The sequence below is a fragment of the Homo sapiens genome, chromosome 3 (genome assembly GCF_000001405.40).
Source record: "Homo sapiens chromosome 3, GRCh38.p14 Primary Assembly".
Lineage (NCBI taxonomy): Eukaryota > Metazoa > Chordata > Mammalia > Primates > Hominidae > Homo > Homo sapiens.
Window position 1 is genome coordinate 129,209,929 of NC_000003.12, and position 26,583 is coordinate 129,236,511.

The 26,583-nt window shown below is 46.2% G+C and overlaps 1 long non-coding RNA gene and 1 pseudogene across 3 annotated transcripts, besides 7 other annotated features; one reads left to right on the forward strand and one right to left on the reverse strand.

The window, feature by feature from the left end:
* Nucleotides 2,051-2,195: an enhancer, noted in NCBI's record as "145 bp enhancer 136 fragment used in the MPRA reporter construct; PK_construct_3873". NCBI's record gives its function as "activates an SV40 promoter by MPRA in K562 cells {active_cell/tissue: K562}" and the evidence as "EXISTENCE:reporter gene assay evidence [ECO:0000049][PMID:23512712]".
* Nucleotides 2,118-2,128: a transcriptional cis regulatory region, noted in NCBI's record as "NFE2L2 motif; enhancer activity is reduced when this motif is scrambled". NCBI's record gives its function as "necessary for full MPRA enhancer 136 activity {active_cell/tissue: K562}" and the evidence as "EXISTENCE:site-directed mutagenesis evidence [ECO:0005528][PMID:23512712]".
* Nucleotides 2,627-2,830: a silencer, noted in NCBI's record as "fragment chr3:128931398-128931601 (GRCh37/hg19 assembly coordinates)". NCBI's record gives its function as "represses an EF-1alpha promoter that drives an FKBP-Casp9 reporter gene in an ReSE screen in K562 erythroleukemia cells {active_cell/tissue: K562}" and the evidence as "EXISTENCE:reporter gene assay evidence [ECO:0000049][PMID:32094911]".
* On the reverse strand, nucleotides 8,108-8,444 carry RPS27P12 (ribosomal protein S27 pseudogene 12; annotated as a pseudogene).
* Nucleotides 8,584-9,539: an enhancer, noted in NCBI's record as "H3K27ac-H3K4me1 hESC enhancer chr3:128937355-128938310 (GRCh37/hg19 assembly coordinates)". NCBI's record gives its function as "activates a minimal SCP1, AML or CMV promoter by ChIP-STARR-seq in primed H9 embryonic stem cells {active_cell/tissue: H9 hESC(primed)}" and the evidence as "EXISTENCE:reporter gene assay evidence [ECO:0000049][PMID:30033119]".
* Nucleotides 19,038-19,332: a silencer, noted in NCBI's record as "tiled region #8233; K562 Repressive non-DNase unmatched - State 5:Enh". NCBI's record gives its function as "represses a minimal TATA promoter and a strong SV40 promoter by Sharpr-MPRA in K562 cells {active_cell/tissue: K562}" and the evidence as "EXISTENCE:reporter gene assay evidence [ECO:0000049][PMID:27701403]".
* Nucleotides 20,814-26,083, forward strand: LOC105374102 (uncharacterized). 3 transcript variants are annotated; one of them, XR_924472.3, is made up of 4 exons: nucleotides 20,814-20,942; nucleotides 23,296-23,561; nucleotides 25,729-25,833; nucleotides 25,934-26,083. It is a non-coding gene; the product is annotated as an uncharacterized LOC105374102 (long non-coding RNA). The 3 variants fall into 3 exon arrangements; XR_924470.3 differs by having other exon boundaries at nucleotides 25,729-26,083; XR_924473.3 differs by having other exon boundaries at nucleotides 23,407-23,561; nucleotides 25,729-26,083.
* Nucleotides 21,480-21,981: an enhancer, noted in NCBI's record as "NANOG hESC enhancer chr3:128950251-128950752 (GRCh37/hg19 assembly coordinates)". NCBI's record gives its function as "activates a minimal SCP1, AML or CMV promoter by ChIP-STARR-seq in naive H9 embryonic stem cells {active_cell/tissue: H9 hESC(naive)}" and the evidence as "EXISTENCE:reporter gene assay evidence [ECO:0000049][PMID:30033119]".
* Nucleotides 23,847-23,966: an enhancer, noted in NCBI's record as "active region_20507". NCBI's record gives its function as "activates an Ori minimal core promoter by ATAC-STARR-seq in GM12878 lymphoblastoid cells {active_cell/tissue: GM12878}" and the evidence as "EXISTENCE:reporter gene assay evidence [ECO:0000049][PMID:35858748]".
* Nucleotides 26,084-26,583: the final 500 nt, after the last annotated feature.

Genomic DNA, 26,583 nt, shown 5'->3' on the forward strand with positions numbered 1-26,583 from the left:
AAGATTACTTGGCCTTAAAATGGAACGAAAATAGGAAATAACAAGTGGTGGCAAGAATGTGGACGAATTGGAACCCTCATGCATTGCTGGTGGGTCTCTCTGGAAAACAGTTTGATGAGTCCTTAAAAATTTAAACCAAACCGCCATATGATCCAGCAATTTCATTTCTACGTATATATTGCAAGGAATCAAAAGCAAGGATTTTAACGGTTTTGTGTATACCAGTCATCATACCAGCATCATTTACAATAGCTGAAAGGCACAAGTAACCCAAACATCCAACAATGGATTAATGGATAAACAAAATGCAGAATGGAGTATTATTGCACACACAATGAGATATTATCCAGCCTTGAAAAGGAATGAGATTCTGACACATGCTGCAACAGGGGTAAACTTTGAGAATTGTATGCTAAGTGAAATAAACCAACTACATATGGACAAATGAGATTTCACTTATATGAGGTATGCGGAATAGTCTAATTCCTTGAGACAGAAAGTACTGGTTGCCAGTGGCTGGGGTGAGAAAGAATGGGGAGTTAGTGTTTAATGAGTACAGAGTATCAGTTTGGGAAGATGAAAAATTCCGGAAATGGAGAGTTGTGATGGCTCACAACAATGTGAATGCACTTAATGCCACTGAATTTTACATGTAAAAATGGTTAAAATGATAAATTCTAAGTTATGTATGTTTTACCACAATAAAAACAAACAAAAGCATGATATTGGCTGGCTGTGGTGGCTCACACTTGTAATCCCAGCACTTTGGAAGGCCGAGGTGGGCGGATCAGGAGGTCAGGAGACCGAGACCATCCTGGCCAACATGGTGAAACCCCATCTGTACTAAAAATACAAAAATTAGCCGAGCGTGGTGGTGGGCGCCTGTAGTCCCAGCTACTCAGGAGGCTGAGGCAGGAGAATCACTTGAACCCGGGAGGCAGAGGCTGCAGTGAGCCAAGATTGCGCCACTGCACTCCAGCCTGGGCGACAGAGCTAGACTCTGTCTCAAAAAAAAAAAAAAAAAAAGCATGATATATTCAGCCCCACCAAAAACCAAAAGGAATGAAATTCTGATACATGGTAGGTACAACACGGATGAATCTTTTTTTTTTTTTTTTTTGGCTGGAGTGCAGTAGCACGATCTCGGCTCACTGCACGCTCCGCCTCCCGGGTTCACGCCATTCTCCTGCGTCAGCCTCCCGAGTAGCTGGGACTACAGGCGCCCACCACCACGCCTGGCTATTTTTTTTTTGTATTTTTAGTAGAGACAGGGTTTCACTGTGTTAGCCGGGATGGTCTCGATCTCCTGAGCTTGTGATCCGCCCGCCTCAGCCTCCCAAAGTGCTGGGATTACAGGCGTGAGCCACCGCGCCCAGCCAACACGGATGAATCTTAAAAACATTTCTAGGTTAAATGTGCCAGGCACAAAAGGACAAATATTGTATGATTCCAGTTATAAGAAACATCTGTAATAGGCAAAATCCAGGGAATTTGAGGCTGCAGTGAACTATGATGGCACCACTGCATTCCAGCCTGGGTAGTCGACTAAGCAAGACCCTGTCTTAAAAAAATAAATAAAAGGGGACAAATTCATAGAGACAGAAAGTGGGAGTTATTGCTTAATGGGTACAGAGTTTCTGTTTGTGGTGATGGAGAAGTTTTGGAAATAGTTATCAGTGATAGTTGCACAATAATATAATTAATGTCACTGAATTGCTGCCTAAAAATGATTAAAATGGCAAATTTTGTTATATACATTTGGCCACCAAAATAAGAAAGAAAACAAACCAACCAGCCCTTCAGTGGCTCTGTAGCTTTGCAGAATGAAAACTCCACAGCCCCATGACTGGCAGGGAGGCCCCATGCTGGCTCCACTCGGCCTCTGCAGCCCTCTCTTCCCACCAGTTGCCTCCTCGGATCCTTCCGGTGCAGCTTCTAGGCTGCTCTTGGCCTGAGTCCAAAGCCGACTGGCCCTGCTCCATGAAGTCTTCCCAGGTTCCCGTTCTAAGAGCCTTTCTCCCTCTTGTGAATAACCAGGCACTCCTGCACCACCCACTACCCCACCCTGACCCTCCTAACCCTCAGCTCTGAGTCACCTGGGCTTGCCCAGGGCTTTCTGCTCAGTCATCTTAAGGACCAGGAGAGGAAGCCAAGCAGGTGGAGGCAGGGCTGGCCATGACCAGGCCTTAGGACTAGAGTTGCATTAGTCAGGAAGGTGGCAGAACTTAGCGTCTCTGCCTCCAGTTCATTGGTGGCCCTGGAAGAGTCCCTGTCTCCCTCTGAGTCTGCTTTCTCTTCTGCAAAATGAGAGACTGGATTGGGATTGCAAGGGTGTTTTTCACTCCAGGTTTTTGTTTGTTTGTTTGTTTTTGAGACAGATTCTCTCTCTGTTGCCCAGGCTGGAGTGCAGTGGCACGATCTTGGCTCACTGCAACCTCCATCTCCCTGGTTCAAACAATTCCCCTGCCTCAGCCTCCTGAGTAGCTGGGATTACAGGCACATGCCACCACCCCTGGCTAATTTTTTTGTATTTTTGGTAGAGACGAGATTTCACCATGTTGGCCAAACTGGTCTCGAACTCCTGACCTCAGGCAATCCGCCCTCCTTGGCTCCCAAAGTGCTGGGATTACAGGTGTGAGCCACCGCGCCTGGCCCATTCCAGGGTTTTGTGACTAAAATTGGGTAGCAAAGAACTGCAGGGTAGAGGTAACCTTCTTCAGAGGAGAAAGCCTTCTTGAAATGTTCAGTTGATGATTTTATTCTTATTGGGGCAGTCTTTAAAGTTTCTTGAGAGAAAAATGGAAACAAAATCTTTTTTTTTTTTTTGAGACAGTCTCTTTGAGTCACCCAGGCTGGAGTGCAAATGGCATGATCATGGCTCATTGCTGCCTCAACCTCCCAGGAAGACCAGATCTTCCAGCTTCAGCTACCTGAGTAGCTGGGACCACAGGTGTGCACCACCACGCCTGGGTAATTTTTTTTTTCTTTTTGATAGGGGGCAGTCTCACTATGTTGCCCAGGCTAGTCTGAACTCCTGGATTCAAGAAATCCTCCTGCCTTCGCTTCCCAAAGTGCTGGGATTATAGACGTGAGCCACTGCATTCAGCTGAAAAAAATCTTTAACTCACCGAAATTAAGAGTTTCGATATTGACTTAGTCAAGAATTTTAGTGTTTGTTACGTTATTAGGATTTCCACAAAATAAATTACCCAAAGGAAAATGATGGTTATTCTTGTTGGCCTTAGCTCATCAATGTAAGTCTAGGACTTTTAGTAGAATCTGGATATTAGCAACACATAGTTAAATGCAGAAGCAACTGCTAGGCCTGGTGGCATGCACCTGTAGTCCCAGCTACTTGGAAGGCTGAGGCATGAGGACCACTTGAGACCAGGACTTTGAATCTGTCCTGGGCAATGTAGCGAAACTACATGTCAATTTTTAAAAATTTTATAAGCAACTAAAAGGAGGTGGTGAAACAGGTAGGATCATGGAATACTATACAGCAGGGAAAACAAACTAAGCACAACTGCCTGCAACAACATGAATGAGTCTCACAATCATACACGCTATATGACTCCTTTTATAAAACATTTAGAAATGGGTAAATATAATCAATGATGTTTTTCCTGATTTCAATTTGGGTTAACACTTTAGTTTTTTGTTTTGTTTTGTTTTTTGAGACAACGTCTCGCTCAGTCGCCCAGGCTGGAGTGCAGTGGTGCGATCTCGGCTCACTGCAACCTCTGCCTCCCAGGTTCAGGTGATTCTCCTGCCTCAGCCTCCTGAGTAGCTGGGATTACAGGCACATGCCACAATGCCCTGCTAATTTTTGTATTTTTAGTAGAGACAGGGTCTCACCATGTTGGCCAGGCTGGTCTCAAACTTCTGAGCTCAGGTGATCCACCCACCTTGGCCTCCCAAAGTGCTGGGATTACAGGCAGGAGCCACCACACCTGGCCAACACTTTGGTATTTAAAATACAATATGAAGCTGGGCACTGTGGCTCACACCTGTAATCTCAGCACTTTGGGAGGCCAAGGTGGAAAGATCATTTGAGCCCAGGAGGTGGAGGCTGCAATGAGCTATGATTGCACCATTATATTCCAGTCTGGATTACACAACTGACACCCTGTCTCTAAAAAAAATAATAAAATGAAATATAATATATAACTGGACAAATATTTAAGATATGATTTTATTTATTTATTTTGAGATGTGTTCTGGTTGTGTTGCCCAGGCTGGGGTATAGTGGTGTGATCATAGCACAATGCAGCCTCGAGCTCCTGGGGTCAAGCTATCTTCCCACCTAGGCCTCTTGAGTAGCTGGGACTACAGGTGCAAACCACTACACCCAGCTATTTTTTTTTTAATTTTATTGTTTTGTGGAGATGGGGGTCTCCATATGTTGCCCAGGCTGGCCTCAAATTCCTGGCCTCACGTGATCCACCTGCCTTGGCCTCCAAAAGTGTTGAGATTACAGGTGTGAGCCACTGTGCCTGGCCTGGATTTTTTAATAATCTTGAAAAAGAACAAACAACCTAAATGTTTAAAGGTAAGGAATTGGTTTGTGTGTGTGTGTGTGTGTGTGTATATATATAAACTATATAATGTATATGAAATCTTGATTAATACATATATCAGTATATAAATATATCAATACATGTCAGATATATCATATATAAGTAATATATAACATAAATAATAAACACATTTATAGTACGTAAATGTATGTTTATTTATACATATGCCAGTATATCAGAACAATGAAATGCTCTACAGCCATTTAAAATTTTGGAGAAAAATATTTAAAAATACTTAATTTACTAGACCTGTATTAAGCGCTTTATAGACATTATTTTATTTAATCCTGACAATACTCCTTGTGATTAAGATACTTGTATTTTTGGCTGGGCATGGTGGCTCACGCCTATAATCCCAGCACTTTGGGAGGCTGAGGCGGGCGGATTGCTGGAGGTCAGGAGTTTGAGACCAGTCTGGCCAACGTGGTAAAACCCCATCTCTACTAAAAAAAATACAAAAAAATTAGCTGGGCATGATGGAGTGCGCCTGTAATCCCAGCTACTCGGGAGGCAGGGGAATTGCTTGAACCAGGGAGGTGGAGGTTGCAATGAGCCGAGATCACGCCACTGCACTCAACCCTGGGAGACAGAGCGAAGACTCCGTCTCAAAAAAAGATACTTATATTTTTATCTTTGTAGATGACAACACTGAAGCATGGGGAAAGTAACCTACTCGAGAACACCTAATTAATCATTTCTGGGCAAACTCAGAAATATGTCCACTAGTATGTGTTTATGTGAAAAATAAGGTATGCGACAGTATGCATAGTATTATCTCAATTTTATTACTGTATTTTTTGTTTTAATTTTTTCTTTTTTCTTGAGATGGAGTCTCATTCTGTAGCCCAGGCTGGAGTGCAGTGGCATGATCTCAGCTCAATGCAATCTCCGCCTCTCAGGCTTAAGCGATTCTTCTGCCTCAGCCTCCTAAGCAGCTGGGATTACAGGCGCCTGCCACCATGCCCAGCTAATTTTTGTATCTTTAGTAGAGAAGGGATTTCACCATGTTGCCCAGGCTGGTCTCGAACTCCTGACCTCTTGTGATCCGCCTGCCTCAGCCTCCCAAAGTGCTGGGATCACAGGCGTAAACCACTGCGTCTGGCCTGTTGTGATGTTTTATATGCACAGATACATATTTTGAAAAAGTTAAAATAGGACGGGTGCGGTGGCTCACGCCTGTAATCCGAGCTCTTTGGGAGGCCAAGACGGGCAAATCACCTGAGGTCAGGAATTCGAGACCAGCCTGACCAACATAGAGAAACTTCGTCTCTACTAAAAATACAAAATTAGCTCGGTGTGGGGGCTCGTGCCTGTAATCCCAGCTACTCGGGTGGCTGAGGCAGAAGAATCGCTTGAACCTGGGAACCAGAGGTTGCGGTGAGCAGAGATCATGCCATTGCACTCCAGCCTGGGCAACAAGAGCAAAACCGTGTCTCAAAAAAACAAAAAAACAGACAAAAAAATCACAACAAATGCATGAATACATAGATGTGTCTAACCTCAAAAAACTGTTAGCTAGCGGAATTATGAGAAATTATGATTTTCTTCCTGTTCATTTATGCATGTAGAGTGGGTTGTTATATGAACTGTGACCTAGGTCTCAGTTCTGAGCACATTATCAATTCCAACATATGGGGGCTGCCCTACGTGACCCAGTGAGGGTCAACATATCTTTTATCACTATCAATATACTAGGACTGCCTACTTACATATTCATAAAATCTACATCAGAGCAAGGGGTGCACTTGTCATATCTGGGACTGGCATACTAGTCCCAGTATTTGCAGTATTAAAATACTGCAAATTTACTAATTTGCAGGCAGCCAATCAGAGCAACTTATGTGAGGCAACACCCCCAAGGAAATCAATCTTGGAAAGCCATTCCGCGCTCCAGAGTGCAAGACCCCTGAGCTGAGGGGCTGGGTGCGGTGGCTCACGCCTGTAATCCCTGCACTCTGGGAGGCCGAGGAGGGTGGATCACGAAGTCAGGAGATCGAGACAATCCTGGCTAACACGGTGAAACCCTGTCTCTACTAAAAATACAAAAAATTAGCTGGGCATGGTGACGGGTGCCTGCAGTCCTGGCTACTCAGGAGGCTGAGGTAGGAGAATGGCGTGAACCTGGGAGACGGAGCTTGCAGTGAGCTGAGATCATGCCACTGCACTCCAGCCTGGGTGACAGAGTGAGACTCCGTCTCAAAAAAAAAAAGAGCCCTGAGCTTGCGGAGCTTGGTGGCATTTGCGCCCACCACAGCAGGAGTGGCATGCAGTCTCTCCACTGTCCTAACCCTTGAAGGTGGAGAGTCTCTGGCTGAGGGTTCTGGCCCTCCCCGTGATGAGGGAGCTCTTGTTCTGGATCCACTCCACAGGAAGGGAGCACCTGGCAGCCGCAGGGAGGGAGCATCCCTAATGCAAAGTGAAGGGACCCACCTAGAAGTGAAGGGACTGTCTGGCCCTATCCTGCAGCGATATGCCTGTGTGTGCTGTTGTTTTCACAGGAAACTTGGCTAGATCAGATACTTTTATATTGAACAATGTTTTGTTATGTTGAATAATTTTATAAAAAGTATAAGTAGTTGTTAAAGTTGCCTCTGTTTCCACATCATTAGATCAAAGCCAGTGGAGTGACTGTAACTCACCACACCAAATAACTTTGACAATGTCTACCTTTTTTTTTCTTTCTTTTTTTTTTTTAATTAAGAGATGGGGGTCTTGGCCGGGCATAGTGGCCCACGCCTGTAATCCCAGCACTTTGGGAGGCCGAGGCAGGTGGATCACAAGGTCAGGAGATCGAGACCATCCTGACTAACGCAGTGAAACCCCGTCTCTACTAAAAATACAAAAAAATTATCCAGGCGTGGTGGCGGGTGCCTGTAGTCCCAGCTATTCGGGAGGTTGAGGCAGGAAGATGGTGTGAACCCAGGAGGCGGAGCTTGCAGTGAGCCGAGATGGCGCCACTGCATGCCAGCCTGGGTGGCAGAGCAAGACTCCGTCTCAAAAAAAAAAAAAAAAGAGAGAGAGAGATGGGGGTCTCAGCCAGGCCTGGTGGCTCATGCCCGTAATACCAGCACTTTGGGTTGCCAAGGTGGGCGGATTGCTTGAGGCCAGGAGTTTTGAGACCAGCCTAGTCAACATGGTGAAACCCTGTCTCTACTAAAAATACAAAAATTAGCTGGTGTGGTGGTGTGAACCTGTAGTCCCAGCTACTCTGGAGGCTGAGGCAGGAGAATTGCTTGAACCCAGGAGGCGACTGAACCCAGGTGGTTGCAGTGAGCCCAGATGCGCCACTGAACTCCAGCCTGGGTGACAAAGCCAGACTCTGTCTCAAAAATACAAAAAGACAGAGAGAGATGGGGGTCTCACCATATTGCCCAGGCTGGAATGGTTATCTATAGGCGCTATCATGGCTCACTGCAGCCTCAAACTCCTGGGCTCGAGCCATCCTCCTGCCTCAGCTTCCCAAGTAGCTGGGACTACAGGCATGTGCCACCACACCCAGGCATGACTTATAAAGTTCTTTTTTTTAAATCCAAAATATGTTCACTTAGTTTGTGTCCCATGCACCTCAACTTGGGGCTCTTCCAGTGCTGCTTCCATCTGAAGGAGCGTCCTTCCAGGAGCCTCACTTTCCCTCCTGTGGGCTGGCAGACAACAGTGGAGCAGCCAACACACAAAACTACAACTGGTGCATGGCCAGAGGCCGTAGTGGCTTTCCAGCATCCTGGCGTTTCACATCTATGAGGGAGGAATTGGGACTCTGCGCTAAGGACTTCTTGTGTTTCCTTACCTCTTTTTCTGCAGAAGGATGAGGGAGCTCCTCTTTGAGAGTCATTTTCTCCTGGGGAGGGCGTCAGTGCCAGAAAGTTTGACTTGTAAAGTTTTTGTTTGTTTGTTTTGTTTTATTTGAGACAGAATTTCGTTCTTGTTGCCCAGGCTGGAATGCAATGGCACAATCTCGGCTCACTGCAACCTCCGCCTCCCAGGTTCAAACGATTCTCCTGCCTCAGCCTCCCGAGTAGCTGAGATTACAGGCATGCGCCACCAAGCCTGGATAATTTTTGTATTTTTAGTAGAGACGGGATTTCTTGATGTTGGTCAGGCTGGTCTCGAACTCCCGATCTCAGGTGATCCATCCGCCTTGGCCTCGCGAAATGCTAGGATTACAGGCGTGAGCCACCGCGCCCGGCCCTGACTTGTAAAGTTTTTAAGGGACAAATCAGTCCTGAATAGCCGCAGACACCACAGTGGCCAAAAATTGTTTCAAAACCTGATGTTTCTCTGAGATCCAGAGACATCCTTTTCTTCCATCCCAGCTGCCTCTGCTAGGAACCCAGTTTCTTTTCTACCCTGAGCCAGGGGCAGCAGTGGGTTCATTCTTTCTCTTCCTTCCTTCCTTCCTTCCTTTCTTTCTTTCTTCCTTTCCCTTTCTTTCTTCCTTTCCCTTTCTTTCTTTCCCTTTCTTCCTTTCCTTTCCTTTCCTTTCTTTTTTTTTTTTGAGTCTCCTTCTGTCGCCCATGCTGGAGTGCAGTGGCATGATCTCCGCTCTCAGCAGCCTCCACCTCCTGGGTTCAAGCAATTCTCCCTGCCTCAGCCTCTGAGTAGCTGGGATTACAGGCACCCACCACCATGCCCTGCTGATTTTTGGGTCTTTGTTTGTTTGTTTGTTTGTTTTTGTTTGAAACGAAGTCTCGCTCTTGTATCCAGGTTGGAGTGCAATGGCACAATCTTGGCTCACTGCAACCTCCGCCTCCTGGATTCAAGCGATTCTCCTGCCTCAACCTCTCGAGTAGCTGGGATTACAGGTGCCTGCCACCACGCAGCTAATTTTTGTATTTTTAATAGAGACGGGGTTTTGTCAGGCCTCTGAGCCCTAGCTAAGCCATCATATCCCCAGTGACTTGCACATATACATCCAGATGGCCTGAAGCAACTGAAGATCCACAGAAGTGAAAATAGCTTAACCGATGACATTCCACCATTGTGATTTGTTTCTGCCCCACCCTAACTGATCAATGTTCTTTATAATCTCCTCCACCCTTAAGAAGTTTCTTTGTAATTCTCCCTACCTTTGAGAATGTACTTTGTGAGATCCACCCCCTGCCCCCAAAACATTGCTCCTAACTCTACAGCCTATCCCAAAACCTATAAGAACTAATGATAATCCCACCGCCCTGTGCTAACTCCTTTTTCGGACTCAACCCGCCTGCACCCAGGTGAAATAAACAGCCATGTTGCTCACACAGAGCCTGTTTGGTGGTCTCTTCACCCGGACACATGAGACAGGTTTCACCATGTTGGCCAGGCTGGTCTCGAACTCCTGACAGGTGATCCACCTGCCTTGGCCTCCCAAAGTGTTGAGATTACAGGTGTGAGCCACCGCACCTGCCCTAATTTTTGCGTTTTTTATTAGAGACGGGATTTCGCCATGTTGGCCAGGCGGGTCTTGAACTCCTGACCTCAGGCAATCCACCCGCCTTGGCCTCCCAAAGTGCTGGGATTACAGGCGTGAGCGACCGTGCCCAGCCAGCAGTGGGTTCCAAGCACACTTGGGGTTGATGTGGTCAACCCTTGAAACTCTAGGTCTATTATAAATGTCATTTTATACTGAACTATGAAATCTTTGCTGATGTTAGGCTGGTATTTCTTTACATTACTGTCTTTAAATTACACGTCTATTCAAAACCCAGGGCCTTACTCCTGGGAAATTATTGAAAGTAATTAATTGAATAAGTAGAAAAAGGCATGTGCACAAAGATGTTTCAATTAAAAATGAAAAATAGGCCAGGTGCGGTGGCTCACGCCTGTAATCCCAGCACTTGGGGAGGCCGAGGCGGGTGGATCACGAGGTCAGGAGATTGAGACCATCCTGGCTAACATGGTGGAAACCCGGCCTCCACCAAAAATACAAAAATTAGCTGGGCGTGGTGGCCCATGCCTGTAATCCTAGCTACTCGGGAGGCTGAGGCAGGAGAATCACTGGAACCCGGGAGGTGGAGGGTACAGTGAGCCGAGATTGCACCACTGCACTCCAGCCTGGGTGACAGAGCAAGACTCCATCTCAAAAAAAAAAAAAAAAAAAAGAACAACCTAAATATACAAGAGAAGACTACTATTAATTAATTTATGGGCCATCCACTGGATGGGATATTATGTAGCCATTAATACTTATAATTTTGGCCAGGCGCGGTGGCTCACGCCTGTAATCCCAGCACTTTGGGAGGCCGAGGTGGGCAGATCACAAGGTCAGGAGATCGAGACCATCCTGGCTAACATGGTGAAATCCCGTCTCTACTAAAAATGCAAACAAAATTAGCCGGGCGTGGTGGCAGTCGGCGCCTGTAGTCCCAGCTACTCGGGAGGCTGAGGCAGGAGAATGCCGTGAACCCGAAAGGCGGAGCTTGCAGTGAGCCGAGATCACGCCACTGCACTCCAGCCTGGGCGAGAGCGAGACTCCGTCTCAAGAAAAAAAAAAGTACTTATAATTTTGAGAATTGCAACAAATGGGAAATATTTACATCTTACTTTTTTTTGAGACAGGGTCTCACTCTGTCATCCAGACTGGAGTGTGGTGGTATGACCATAGCTTACTGCAACCTTGAAATCCTGGGCTCCCACGACCCTCTCACCTCAGCCTCCTGAGTATCTGGGATTATAGGTACAAGCCCCAAGCCTCAGCATTTTTTTTTTTTTTGAGACGGAGTCCCGCTCTGTCTCCCAGGCTTGAGTGCAGTGGCGCCATCTCAGCTCACTGCAACCTCTGCCTTACGGGTTCACGCCATTCTTCTGCCTCAGCCTCCTGAGCAGCTGGGACTACAGGCACCCACCACCATGCCCGGCTAATTTTTTTTGTATTTTTAGTAGAGATGGGGTTTCACCGTGTTGGCCAAGATGGTCTCGATCTCCTGACCTTGTGATCTGCCCGCCTTGGCCTCCCAAAGTGCTGGGATTACAGGCGTGAGCCACCGCGCCCGGCCTTTTTTTTTTTTTAGAGACAAGGTCTCACTTGAGCCCAAGCTGGTCTTGAAGTCCTGGGCTGAAGTGATCCTCTGGCCTTCAGCCTCCCAAAGCACTGGGATTACAGGCGTGAGCCACTGCATCTGGCCACTTATATCTTAAAAGAAAAAACAACACAAAAGAAATAAAATGCATGATGCTTATCAGGGAATCCAGAAGCTATGGAAGCAAGCAAAGATATTCATATTTGACTACTTAAAATGTTTAAAGTTTTGAGACAAAAGATACTATGAAGTCAAACGAACAAAGCATAGAGCAGAAAAAAAGTTGGCTGGGCGTGGTGGCTCACGCCTGTAATCCCAGCACTTTGGGAGGCCAACGCGGGCGGATCACGAGGTCAGGAGATCAAGACCATCCTGGCTAACAGGGTGAAACCCGGTCTCTACTAAAAATACAAAAAAATTAGTAGGGCGTCGTGGCGGGCACCTGTAGTCTCAGCTGCTCAGGAGACTGAGGCAGGAGAATGGCGTGAACCTGGAAGGTGGAGCTTGCAGTGAGCTGAGATCGAGCCACTGCACTCCAGCCTAGGTGCCAGGGCAAGACTCTGTCTCAAAAAAAAAAAAAAAGTTATAATACCTACAATAAATGTTAATATTGTTAGCATACCAAGAGTTTCTACAAATTAAAATCCAATAGAAAAATGGGTAAATAATATGTACAGATAATTCATAAAAGGAAATCCAAGAAACACAACCTTAGTCATCAAGGAAATGCAAATTCAGGTAATAATGAGATGGTAATATTCTTTTGTGAGATTGGCATAAACTTAAAAGCTAAATAAAATCCAGTACTTGCAAAGATTCAGGGAAAAAAACCCAGCACTTTGAGAGGCTTAGGCAGGCGGATTACCTGAGGTCAGGAGTTTGAGGCCAGCCTGGACAACATGGTGAAACCCCCTGTTTCTACTAAAAATACAAAAAAATTAGCCGGGCTTGGTGGCTTGTGCCTGTAATCCCATCTACTCAGGAGGCTTACTATGAGACTCCATCTCAAAAAAAAAGATTCAGAGAAAATGAAACTCCCATTCATTGCTGGTAGGAATGTGACTTGCTATAACCTTTTGTGTGTGTGTGCTGGAGTCGCCTGGCTAATTTTTTGTATTTTTAGTAGAGACAGGGTTTCACCATGTTGGCCAGGATGGTCTCGATCTCCTGACCTCGTGATCCGCCCACGTCAGCCTCCCAAAGTGCTGGGATTACAGGCGTGAGCCACTGCGCCCGGCCTTTTTTGTTGTTTTTTTTTTAAAGCAAGTTGCCAAGAAATGTACATAGTCCATAGTCTCCTTTTTTTTTTTTTTTTTGGAGACAGAGTGTTGCTCTGTCGCCTAGGCTGCAGTGCAGTGGCACAATCTTGACTCACTGCAACCTCTGCCTCCTGGGTTCAACCGATCTCCTGCCTAAGCCTCCCGAGTAGCTGGGATTACTGGCGCACACTACCATGCCCAGATAATTTTTGTATTTTTTAGTAGAGAGGGGGTTTCACTATGTTGGTCAGGCTAGTCTCAAACTCCTGACCTAGAGAAATCCACCTGCCTCAGCCTCCCGAAGTGCTGGGATTGCAGGCCTGAGCCACAGCTCCCAGCCCCAGTTTTGTTTTAAGAAAAGGGTTTGTAGGCCACATGTAGTGGCTCATGCCTGTGATTCCAACACTTGTGGAGGCCAAGGTGGGCAGATTACTTGAGCTCAGGAGCTTGAGACCACCTGGGCAACATGACGAAACACCGACTCTACAAAAAAATACAAAAAGTAGCCGGGTACGGTGGTGCAGATCTATAGTCCCAGCTACTTGGGAGCCTGAGGTTGGAGGATCTCTTGAGCCCAGGTAGAGGCTGCAATAAGCCAAGATCATGCCACTACACTTTAGCTTAGGCACCAGAGTGAGATCCTGTCTCAAAAAAATGGGGAAGTTTGGATATTGTTCATATAGGAAAGATGGAGAAAAAAAAGATTTGGGATTATACACTTCATGTTGTTAATATTTATTACTTTAGGGGATGAAATTAGGGTAAGGTGGGGCAGATATAATTTTTCTTTCACATAATGTTGGATTTTGTGTGTAACAAATAAACATAAATTACTTTTGTAATTCTTTCAATTCTTAAAGAAAATTTAAGGAAAAAAATGACAAAGACTATAAGGAAATACTAATTTTTTTATAATATAAAATGACAACAAAAATATTAAATTGAATTCCTGCTTTATTCACAACTGTAAAAATAAAATATCCATGTGAATAGGACTGGTAAAGAGAACTTAAAAGTTTTTTAGGGTTTTTTAGAGTGCTAGGAAGTACGTAATCTTTTTTATTTTAGTTTTTTTCTGTACCACTTACAAGCTAGGATATAGTCTTTTTAAAATAAATACTTGTGAATACTTGTGGGGAATAATCATAATAGTTCTATTATGTAAAAGATGCAAACTATGGATGCAGTGGACAAAGTGTAGATATAAAATGCAAAAATTAGGCCAGGCATGGTGGCTCACACCTGTAATCCCAGCATTTTGGGAGGCCAAAGTGGGCAGATCACAAGGTCTCTAAGAGACAGAGACCATCCTGGCCAACATGGTGAAATGCCGTCTCTACTAAAAATACAAAAATTAGCTGGGCGTGGTGGCACGCGCCTGTAGTCCCAGCTACTCAGGAGGCTGAGGCAGGAGAATCCAGGAAGCAGAGGTTGCAGTGAGCCAAGATCGTGCCATTGCCCTCCAGCCTGGTGACACAGCGAGACTCCGTCTCAAAAAAAAAAAAAAAAAAGAATAAAAGAAAATGCAAAAATTGGCTGAGCATGGTGGCTCACGCCTATAATCCCAGCACTTTGGAGACCGAGGGGGATGGATTGCTTGAGCTCATGAGTTGGAGACCAGCTTGGGCAACATGGCAAAACCCCATCTCTACAAAAAAAAAAAAAAATACAAAAAATTAGCTGGGCATGGTGGCAGGTGCCTGTAGTCCCAGCTACTCAGGAGGTTGAGGTGGGAGGATGACTTGAGGCCAGGAGGTGGAGGTTGCAGTGAGCCGAGATCACACCACTGCACTTCAGCCTGGGCAATAGATCCAAACCTTGTTTCAAAAAAAAAAAAAAAAGCTGTTAAGTAAGGATGACAGGCTTATGAATATTTTTTTTCAATTTCCTCAAACTTTATGTAATATTGCACTGCCTTTAGAATAAAAAGTAACTCCTACCCCATAAAAAGCTAGGTTTCCTTTTTTGGAATTTATTACAGAAGAGAAGACAGAACAGAAATTTGTATCCTGCTACAATTACAGTGTTATCAAACTATAGTCCTATATGGATGAGGACTGAAGGAGGAATGCTGAGACTGTTGAGGGTTTTAAAATTTTTATTTCCTTTCCTGTTATGTTCCAAAAAGATACACATCAAGAATGGGAGGAACGAACTTTTAATTTATTTTCTCAGTTTCCGGATGCTCTATCTTCTTTTTCAAATTATAAAAATTCTCTTTTTTAAATACAAGCTGACTGGGTTGTCCCTGAAACACATTAGCTCAAGCTTCTGACCTTTGGAAAGCAAATCAGAGACTATGTTGCGAAAGAATTGTAATCAGCCTCGGTGACTGTGAGAGTTATTTAGGACACAGCCTCTTGCTCAGTTACAGCTCCAGCCTAGGGCCAGCAGGGCACTGGGACATGCTGGCAGCCACTGCATACTGGGCACCGGAAGGAGGATCTGCAGCAAGCTGGGACGTGGAAGGAAGCCACAGGACTTCCTCTGCAAGCTCTGCCAAGCCAAACGAGTATTATCTGCCCTCGAGTTTGTTTTTGCCATGGCTAAACACGGACTGCAAGTTGAACGTAATCCAAGCAGATCATTTCCCTGCAATTTTAAAAAGCAACGTAAATCCTAGACTTGACATGGTTCAAATCAGCTGGAGCAGGGCATCTCAGGGAGTAAGAGAGACTTGGGCTACTTCTAATTTTGTTTATTGATATGAAGAAATAGTAAATACAACTTAAAAATTTTGGTATGCTGTATTTTATTTATGAATTGCTTTTAGAGACAGGGTCTCAGTCTGTCTCCTGGGCTGGAGTGCAGTGGCACAATCATAGCTCACTGCAGCCTTGAACTTCTGGGCTCAAGCAATCCTCCTTCAGCCTCCCAAAGTGCTGGGATTATAGGTGTGAGCCACCGTGCCTGGCCAGGTAAGCTTATTTTAAAATAGTAATATACATTTTTTAAACCTTTAGTCACCTTTTCAAGTAAAGCACCTCTACATTTAAAACAATGGAGTTAGCCAGTCATGGTGGCTCATGCCTATAATCCCAATTTTAGGTAGGCTGAGGCGGGAGGATCAGTTGAAGCCAGAAGTTCAAGACCAGCCTTGGCAACAAAGTGATACCCCATTTCTACAAAAATTGTTTTTTTAAAAAAGTTAGCTAGGCATGGTGTATGCCTGTAGTCCCAGCTACTGGGGAGGCTGAGGTAGGGGGATCACTTGAGCCTATGAGCAGAGATCATACTACTGCACTCCAGTCTAGGTGACAGAATGAGAACCTGTCTTTTTTTTTTTTTTGAGATGGGGTCTCGCTCTGTCGCCAGGCTGGAGTGCAGTGGCGCAGTCTTGGCTCACTGCAACCTCTGCCTCCTGGGTTCAAGCGATTCTCCTGCCTCAGCCTCCCAAGTAGCTGGGATTACAGGCACGTGCCACCATGCCCAGCTAATTTTTGTATTTTTAGTAGAGATGGGGTTTCACCATGTTGGCCAGGCTGGTCTTGAACTCCTGACCTCATGATCTGCCCGCCTCAGCCTCCCAAAGTGCTGGGATTACAGGCATGAGCCACCGTGCCCGGCCTGAGACCCTGTCTTAAAAACAACAACAACAAAAATCCCACAAAATACAATGGAGTCCATTGTTAATTTGAAAAAGTATAGTAAACACACAGAAACATTTTATATATATCCTATCACGCATAGTGTATTTCAGATGTTATGGTTGGATAAAGAAAGACAAATTCAAGGTAATATGATAAGCATCTTCTTTTAGTCCTGCCAGCGTGTCTCTGACTCATGCACACCCTTGTATGGAGAGGAAGCTCTTGGAGAGTGCGCAGGCTGGCCACCCGCCCATGACATGCCCTGCTGTGGGAAAGCCAGAGCAGGGAGTGGATAGAGCCTGTGACTTGGAATCAAAAGACTCAGGGCGGAATTGCAGCTCTGCCATTTCTTGTGTCAACTCTAAGCCTGTATCATCCACTGTAAGATGGAGATAGTAATAAAACCTTCTTCGCAGAGTTGTGGGGAAGATTCACCAAGATTAACACATAGGAAAGCCCACAGCACACTTTAGCATGTAGGTTGCCCAAATGTTTGCTCCCTTTGACTGTCTCTTCCTGGCTGGATGTGAGGATTATGTTGGATGGTGTACGTGAAAACAAATGTTAGTTATAATTAGAAATGGGTAACAGGGTCCTGAATCTAATTCAAGACACCACATCTGATTGTGTGTATGTTGTGTCAGAGTGTCTGCAACAGGTTGTTAGTCCTCCAATGCTACGATATTTTTTAACCTCCTTCTGAGCCCCTCCCTGTCTGGCAGTCCCTAGACCTAGCTAGCTTCTCAGAATAGGTTCTGGAAATGCAGAGAACATTCAGGAGGCAGGCTCACGGCCTGAAAAATAAGGGTCGCAGCTCCTGACTCAACTAATACTTCAAGGCAGCGTCCAAAGGTCCAACAAGACAACTCACTGCATGCTCCCTCACACGTTGTCGGCAGGCTGGAGTGCAGTGGCGCAATCTCCGCTCACTGCAAGCTCCGCCTCCTGGGTTCACGCCATTCTCCTGCCTCAGCCTCCCGAGTAGCTGGGACTACAGGCGCCCGCCACCACGCCCGGCTAATTTTTTGTATTTTTAGTAGAGAGGTTTCACCGTGTTAGCCAGGATGGTCTCGATCTCCTGACCTCATGATTCACCCACCTTACCTTCCCAAAGTGCTGGGATTACAGGCGTGAGCCACCGTGCCTGGCCTTCCCTCAAAGATTCGGAGGTAATTTCAATTCTCCTACATCACCACTGTAGCATTGTCACACTGAGGAAAATTAAGTATATTTAGACAGAATCTTTGAACAAGGGTTTTGGGAAAGGAGATAACTGATATCTGAAATCACAAGAAATTCAGCCAGGGTGCTAGGCCAAATGTAGGCTGTGGGAAGGAAAGGGCTTTGTGCTTCTTGAAGGCCAGGACAAATGCTTGAAGTTAGCATCATTCAAAGGTGTGCTTAAAGCCATCTGTGGGAGACCTCAGCTGCCTGGATCTTGAGTACGTGTGATTAACTGCCTTGTGTATTAGCAACCCCTGGGAAGATCCCACTGATGAACAGGGTGAAATGACATGAAAAACAGCCGTGAATAAGCCTTTGAGAAATGAAACAAACTAAACCCACAAGTCATCCTAGCAAGCAAGGGGAAAAAGAAAAGATTCAGTGCAGACAATTTCTGCTGTGAATGAACCCAGGTCTTCCCAGGGGGAGAAATGGGTGGGGGCGATTTGATTGAGGAAGGAAATGAGGCTTCAGGCAGGAGGAAATTCTTTTTTTTTTTTTTTTTTTTTTTTGAGACAGAGTCTTGCTCTCTGTCATCCAGGCTGAGTACAATGGCTCGATCTGGGCTCACTGCAACCTCCGCCTCCTGGGTTCAAGCAATTCTTCTGCCTCAGCCTCCCGAGTAGCTGGGACTACAGACATGCGCCACCACGCCCGGCGAATTTTTGTATTTTTAGTAGAGACAGAGTTTCACTATATTGGCCAGGCTGGTCTCAAACTCCTGACCTTGTGATCTGCCCACCTTGGCCTCCCAAAGTGCTGGGATTAGGCGTGAGCCACTGCGCCCGGCCTAATTTTTGTATTTTTAGTAGAGACAGCGTTTTCCCATGTTGGCCAGGCTGGTCTCGAACTCCTGACCTCAAGTGATCCACCCAGCTTGGTCTCCCAAAGTGCTGGGATTACAGGCGTGAGCCACCGTGCCGCTGGCAGGAGAAAATCCTTTACTGTGTTAAGTTAGTAAAGAATGTGCTTCATGAATACCCTACTCTTCCCACCTGTAGCTCTGGCTACAGGGGGTCCTTCCTGCCCTGGAAGGTTTTCACAGGACATTCTGTGCATTCTATGACCGAGTGAAGCCCACAGCTCTCCTTCTTTTCCTCCAGCCCTCTTGCTCCATTTCCATTCCCAACAGACTGTTTTTCTTTATCAGAGTCCCTAAATTTCCTCACCCATAAAACTGAGATGGTGGTGTCTGCTTGCAGGGCAGTTCTCATACAGGACTGTGTGGGATGGCAATGGTGGATGTGCCTGGCACGGTGTCAGGCACAGTGGAAAAGGCCCTAAGTGAATGTTGTGTGATAATTTCCTAGGAGTCCTCACTCTTGTGGACACTGCATTCCCAGGCTCCCTTGCCAATTGTCTTAGGCCGGGGCCAGCCGCTGGGAGATGCATGTGGGAGACTGGTGGCTTGGGGGAGGGAGAAACCAGGGTATTTCTCCCTTTCTCCCTCTGCCTGGGGTGGGACGGCAACTAATTCTCCTCTGAATACTGGTTCCCAGTAGGACAGCCCCTCTCTCTGTGGCTGCAGTGCCCACCAGGTGGCCCTCATCACGACCTTGGTTCCCACAGATGGCTCCAGCTGCTGGGCTCCACTTCCACCTCTACCCTAGAGGCAAGAGAGGCTTCCTGTCCTTCCTGTTGCTGATCTCCCAGTTCCCTCCCCACTTCCTGCTTGGTTTCCCAGCTCTTCCATTCCTGTGTAATAAGTCCTTGTACTGAATTCTGTCTGCTTCTGCCTGGGCTGTGGCTGATACACACGGTAATTGTTCAGACTAAGCTATGCAGTAAAGAGGTGACTCAGCAGGCTTGTGACGCTCAAACCCTGCACATCCCAAAGACCGGCTCCTGGAAGATAACCTATAAACAGTTGAAATATCCTGCCTGATGGAGTGGCTTTGCATACCTGGGGCCTTGGGCCCTGCCAGATACTTGTGCTAAAAATGTGCTTCGGGGTGAATGTCCGTTTCTGTTTGCTTCGGGTCTTGGGCCACACTGAGTTTGACGTGGTTGCAGGGTCATGCTGGAGACTAAGATCAAGCAGGTTGGTGCTCCATGGCCGTGTGACTGACCCTCAATAAAAAACCTGCACACTGAGGCTTGGGTGAGCTTCCCTGTTGTCAACACTCCCTGCAGGCTACCACGCATCCTTACGGGAGAATGAAGCACGGTCCCTACAACTCTTCCGGTAAGGCCACATGGAAACTCGCACCTGCTCTCTCCCAGATTCTGCCCTAAACACGTTTTCCTGTGCTGATTTTAATCTGTATCCTTTTGCTGTAATAAACTATAACCATGAGTATAGCAGCTTTTCTGAGTTCTATGAGTCCCCCTAGCAAATCACTGAACCTGGGACCCCCCCACACACCAGTTAAAAAGGACACTTTTTGGGCCTGGCGCGGTGGCTCACGCCTGTAATCCCGGCACTCTGGGAGGCCGAGGCGGGCGGATCACAAGGTCAGGAGATGGATACCATCCTGGCTAATACAGTAAAACCCCGTCTCTACTAAAAATACAAAAAATTAGCTGGGCGTGGTGGCGGGTGCCTGTAGTCCCAGCTACTCCGGAGGCTGAGGCAGGAGAGTGGCGTGAACCCGGGAGACGGAGCTTGCAGTGAGTCGAGATTGTGCCACTGCACTCCAGCCTGGGCAACAGAGCAAGACTCTGTCTCAAAAAAAAAAAAAAAAAAAAAGGACGCTTTTTCTTTTACAGACAAAATGTCGAGAGTCCCCAGAACTTAAGTAACTTTCCTGAACTGAATGCAGGTTCTTGAATTTAAAGCCCTGTCTCTTGCTGCCCTGCCCACTGACTCTCACAAGGATAGGGCAGGCAGTGAGAATGTGGAAGCAGAAAGACCACATGACTGACAGTTTAAAGTATAGTCATGTGTCACTTAACGGTGAGGATATGTTCCGAGAAATGCCTCCTTAGGCAATTCTGTTGTGTGCACATCACAGAGTACACTTACACAAACCTAGATGGAAGAGCCTACTGCACACCTAGGCTGAATGGGACCAGCCTGGCCAACATGTTGAAACCTCAACTCTACTAAAAATACAAAAATTAGCCAGGCTTGGTGGCATGTGCCTGTAATCTCAGCTACTTGGGAGGCTGAGGCAGGAGAATCACTTGAACCTGGGTGGTGGAGGTTGCAGTGAGCCGAGATCACCCCACTGCACTCCAGCCTGGGCGACAGAGCAAGACTGACTCAATTTAAAAAAAAAAAGATAAAAATGGTGCATCTCTATAGGGCGTTTACCATGCCTGGAGCTTGTGGGACTGGAAGTTGCTCTGGTGAGTCATTGAGTGAGTGGTGAGTGAATGTGAAGGTCGAGGGCATGACTATGCCCTATGGCAGACTTCATAAACGTTGTATACTTAGGCTGCACAAATTTATAAAATATATTTTTCTTTCTTCAATAGCAAATTATGCTTAGCTTATTATAACTTTTTTACTTTATAAACTTTTAAATGTTTTTAATTTTTTGACTCTTTAGACACTTAGCTTAAGACAAACACATTGTACAGCTGTACAAAATTATTTTCTTTTCCTTCTTTTTTTTTTGTAGACATGGGGTCTCCCTATGTTGCCCAATTTATTTATGTCCTTATTCTTTTTTTTTTTTTTTTGAGACAGAGTCTTGCTCTGTCACCCAGGCTGGAGTGCAGTGGCTCAATCTCGGCTCACTGCAATCTCCGCCTCCTGGGTTCACACCATTCTCCTGCCTCAGCCTCCCGAGTAGCTGGGACTACAGGCGACCGCCACCACGCCCAAGATTGAGCCACTTCATTCCAGCCTGGGCAACTCCATCTTAAAAACAACAAAAAAAGTAAATACATACACCAGTAACAATTGTTTATGGTCACTACCAAGTATTATGTACTGTGCTTTTCTATGACTGGCAGCACAGTAGGTGTGTTTACACTAGTATCACCACAAAAACATGAGTAATGCATTGCACTATGACTTTAAGACAGCTACAGCATCACTAGGTGGTGGGAATTTTTCAGCGCCATTGTAATCTTGTGGGCCACTGTTGCATATGCGATCCATCATTGATCAAAATGTTGTTACATGGCTCATGACTGTAGGTGGCTATTAAGGCTCCTTCTGGCTGCAACGGCCTATAAACCCGGCAGTCAATAAGCACTTGTTGAACTCTTAGACTGAGCAATTAATTGCTCACCAGGGGTGCCTGGAGGTTTGTGTGCACAAGGCCATCCAGGCTGCAGAGTGGAGGGAAGACTGGAGAGGGGTAGAGGGGGTGGAGGCTGCTTCAGGAGCCCAGGGAGGCAGACTGGGACCAGGGTGGCACAGGGTGGGAGGGTCAGGATGGATCCTAGTGACCGTGCAGGAAATGGGCTACGGAACACCTCTCCTGGGAAGCTTGTTCCCCCAACCTGGTGCTGTCCGAGGTTTATCCATTTCAATCAATGATGTTGGCTTATTAAAGCCAGGAACAGAGGTGTCACCTTGGATCCCTTCCACTGTCTTGCTTTACCCACCCATGTCAATTCTACTTCCAGATAGATCTGACAAGGGTCCTCTTTCCTCCCTCTCCACCCTGCTCCACCTTAGTCCAAACCATTTGCCACTTTTCGTCTTTGCACTGGTCGATCTCCCCGCCTTCTCATTCCTCAGGTTTCATCTGCTACGTGGCCTCCTAACAGAAGGCTTCTCTGCCCATCCCCATGACAGGAGGTCCTCTCTTGATCTCTGTCACAGCTTCCTCTTTTACCCCTTATGAGTTTGCTTACTTTCTCTAATAATAACTAGCATTTATTGAGCACCTACTGTGTGCCCGATGCAGTTCTAAGCACATTGCATTATAGTAACCCATTTAGTGCTTATTTACCCAACTCTGTTGTATAAATTTTTTTTTTTTGAGATGGAGACTTGCTCTGTTGCCCAGGCTGGAGTGCAGTGGTGCGATCTCGGCTCACTAAAACCTCTGCCTCCCAGGTTCACACCATTCTTTTGCCTCAGCCTCCCAAGTAGCTGGGACTACAGGCACCCACCAACATGCCTGGCTAATTTTTTTGTATTTTTAGTAGAGACAGTTTCACCGTGTTAGCCAGGATGGTCTTGATCTCCTGACCTCGTGATCCACCCACCTCGGCCTCCCAAAGTGCTGGGATTACAGGCTTGAGCCACCACGCCTGGCCTCCCTATTTAAAAATTTAAAAAATTTCTCTATTTAAAGTTAATTCCAAAGCTAAGGAAACTGGTTTAAAACTATCACCTCAGCTAGACTGTGGCCATTATGCGGGTAGAGATTTTGCCTGACTTGTTTATTTTTATTATATATATATATATTTTTTTTTTTTAGAAGGCGTCTTACTCTGTTGCTCAGGTTGGAGTGCAGTGGCACGATCTCGGCTCAACTGCAACCTCTGCCTGCTGGGTTCAAGCAATTTTCCTGTCTCAGCCTCCCGAGTAGCCGGGACTATAGGCGCACGCCACTATGCCTGGCTAATTTTTGTATTTTTAGTAGAGATGGGGTTTTGCCATGTTGGCCAGGCTGGTCTCGAACTCCTGACCTCAGGTGATCCACCCACCTCAACCTCCCAAAATGCTGGGATTACAGGCATGAGGCTCTGCACACAGGCTTGTTTCTGGTTTTATTTTTGTTTAATTTTTTTAAAGGAATCACTTCCTGGCTGGGAATTGAACCCAGACTGCTGCAGTGAAAGAGCATAATGTTAGCTACTGGCCCACAGCATGAGACTCCCGGTCCTGTTTGTTGCTCATCCCCAGATACGCAGCCTGGTCTACAGGAAGAATTCTATGTATATTTGCTGAAGAGACAAAGAAGGATGTGGATGAATTGGATGTGGAGAATGAGAGGAAAGAAAATGTCAAGGATGGCTCTAATTTCTGGCTTATGCAACTGAGTGGTGCCATTGAGAGAGGTGAGCTGGTCTGCAGGGACTTGGAACAGGTTGATGAGTCTGGTTAGGGAAACGTGGAGTTAGGAAATCAGTTCCTATGTTGTGCTGTGTTGGGAGCTCTGGGCTGGGTGGTGGATCTAGATTTAGGTGTCATCAGCACACCAGTGGTAGGTTGGTTGAAAGTGATTGAGATCACCCAGGGAAGCTTGCTGAGTGAGAAGAGGAAGTCTAGGGCTGAGCCGTAAGCAAATGCCAACATCCAATGGGCAGCAGGAAGGACCCTGCAAAACAGTGTGAGATGCAGCAGGCAAAAAAGGGAAGTGAGAAACCAGGGCAGGTGACCTCCGGAAGCCGAGGAAAAGAGAAGAGGGTACCATGTGGTACTTGTAAGCATCACAGGGCTGGAGCAAGCTTTTTTTTTTTTTTTTTTTTTTTCCTTCTCTTTGGTCTGCATCATCTTGGCATGCACAATTTCTTTTCTTTTTTTTTTTTTTTTGAGACGGAGTCTTGCGCTGTCGCCCAGGCTGGAGTGCAGTGGCATGATCTCAGCTCACTGCAACCTCCGCCTCCTGGCTTCAAGCAATTCTCCTGCCTCAGCCTCCTGAGTAGCTGGGATTGCAGGTGCATGCCACCACGCCTAGCTAATTTTTTTGTATTTTTAGTAGAGACAGGGTTTCACCGTGTTAGCCAGGATGTTCTCCATCTCCTGACCTTGTGATCTGCCTGCCTCGGCCTCCAAAGTGCTGGGATTACAGGCATGAGCCACCACACATGGCCGCAATTATTATTATTATTATTTTTGAGACAGAGTTTCGCTCTGTCGCCCAGGTTGGAGTACAGTAGAGCAGTCTTGGCTCACTGCAACCTCTGCCTGTCAGGTTCAAGCGATTCTCCTGCCTCAATCTCCCAAGTAGCTGGGACTACAGGCATGCGCCACCACGCCTGGCTAATTTTTGTATTTTGAGTGCAGACAAGGTTTCACCATGTTGGTCAGGCTGTTCTCTGAACTCCTGACCTCAAGTGATATGCCTGCCTTGGCCTCCCAAAGTGCTGGAATTATATGTGTGAGCCACCATGCCTGGCCTGCATGCACAATATTTTAAAACATGTTGAGTCTGTTGCCAAAAATTTAAAAATCAGAGTATTTCTTTTGAAATCTCCATTTCCAGTTTCTCTGGAAAAATCTCAAGATTGGCCATTCTGGGCCTGAATTCCTGCATACCAACAGCCAGGTGCAGTGACTCACAGCCGTCCCGTTACCTGAGGTGTGCACTCTCCTATTTGCCTCAGTCCCTACCTCTCTCTATCGTATCCCTGCCACCAGAGGCCTAACAGATATTATTCACCATCTCTCTTGCATTACTGCTTTTCTTCTAGTAAAGTTAAGAGAAGGGAGAGGACTTCTTAAGTTTATGTTACTGTTGAAAGTGAGAAAATGGTACACCCCTATAGTCCCAGCTACTACAGAGGAGGATCCTTGAGCCTGGGGGTTGGAGGCTGCTGTGCCCTATGATAGTGCCTGTTAATAGCACTCCAGCCTGGGCAACATAGCAAGATCTTGATTCTTACAAAAGAGACAGAAAAAAAAAAATAAAGTGGGAAAATGAAAGATAGACAGAGACAGTAAGTATCTCTTGAAAAATAGGAGGAAGCATATTTCTTTTTTTGTCATTGTTGTTGTTGTTGTTTGAGATAGGGTCTTTGTCACCCAGGCTGGAGTGCAGTGGGGTGATGACGGCTCACTGTACTCTTGACCTTCCAGGCTCAGATGATCGTCCTACCTCAGCCTCTTAAAAAGCGTATTTCTTAATGAATATGAATAATACTTCTATATTTTACTCACTTGCCTTCTCTGCTTAAGATAGTTCTTTTTTTTTTAAAAGCTTATAAATAACACAAATTTATTTCTCACAGTTCTAGAGGTTGGAAGTCCACAGATTCACTGTCTGGTGAGGGCCTGTTTCCTGGTTTGTAGATGGTATCTTCTTGCTGGGTCCTTACACTGTGGAAAGGCTGAGAGATTTCCAGTGATCTCTGCCTCCTGGGGTTTATGGCCTGTGTCAACTCCTCCCTTTGAAAGTGGGCTGGACCTAGTGACTTTATTCTACCCAATAGACTATGACTAAAGGTGATGGGATGCTCCTTTGTAATAAGGTTACCAAAAATTATTACTTCCCTCTGCCAGCAGACTCTCTCTCTTGCCTTCTTGGTTGGCACACTGGGGAGAAGCGAGCTGCAGCGTTGGAGAGGCCCATGTGGCAAGGGACTGAGAGCAGCCTCTGGCCAACAGCCGGTAAGCAACCAGTGAGCAACCGAGGCCCTCAGTCCCACAGCATGTGAGGAACTGAGTCCTGCCAATGATCATGTGATACTGAAGGAGGGTCTTTCTTTAGCTGATCCTACAGATGAGAATCTAGCCCTTGTGCTGCCTCATGAGAGACCCTGGAGCAGAGGCCCCAGCTGAGCTATGCCTGGATTCCTACCCACAGAAACTGGAAGACAATAAAAGTGTCGTTTATGTTTTTTTATTCTGGTAAAAATCATATAACATGAAATTTTTCCATTCTAACCATTAAAAACATGTCTTTTTGTGTGTGTGAGACAGGGTTTCGTTCTGTCACCCAGGCTAGAGTGCAGTGGTGCAATCTCGACTCACTGCAACCTCTGCCTTTCAGGCTCTAGTGATCTTCCCACCTGGTCAGCCTCCCAAGTAGCTGGGACTACAGGTGCGCACCACCATGCCCAGCTAGTTTTTGTTTGTATTTGTAGTAGATATGGGGTTTTGCCATTTTGCCTAGGCTGGTCTCGAACTCCTGGGCTCAAGCGATCCACCCTCAAAGTGCTGGGATTACAGGCATGAGCCACTGTGCCCAGCCTTATTTTTAAAATTTTTTAAAATTTTTTTATAGAGAGGGGTCTCAATATGTTGCCCAAGCTGGTCTCAAACTCCTGGCCTCAAGCCATGTTCTCAAGCTTCCTAAAGTGCTGGGATTACAGGTGTGAGCCACCATTTCTTTCTTTTTTTTTTTTTTTTGAGACGGAG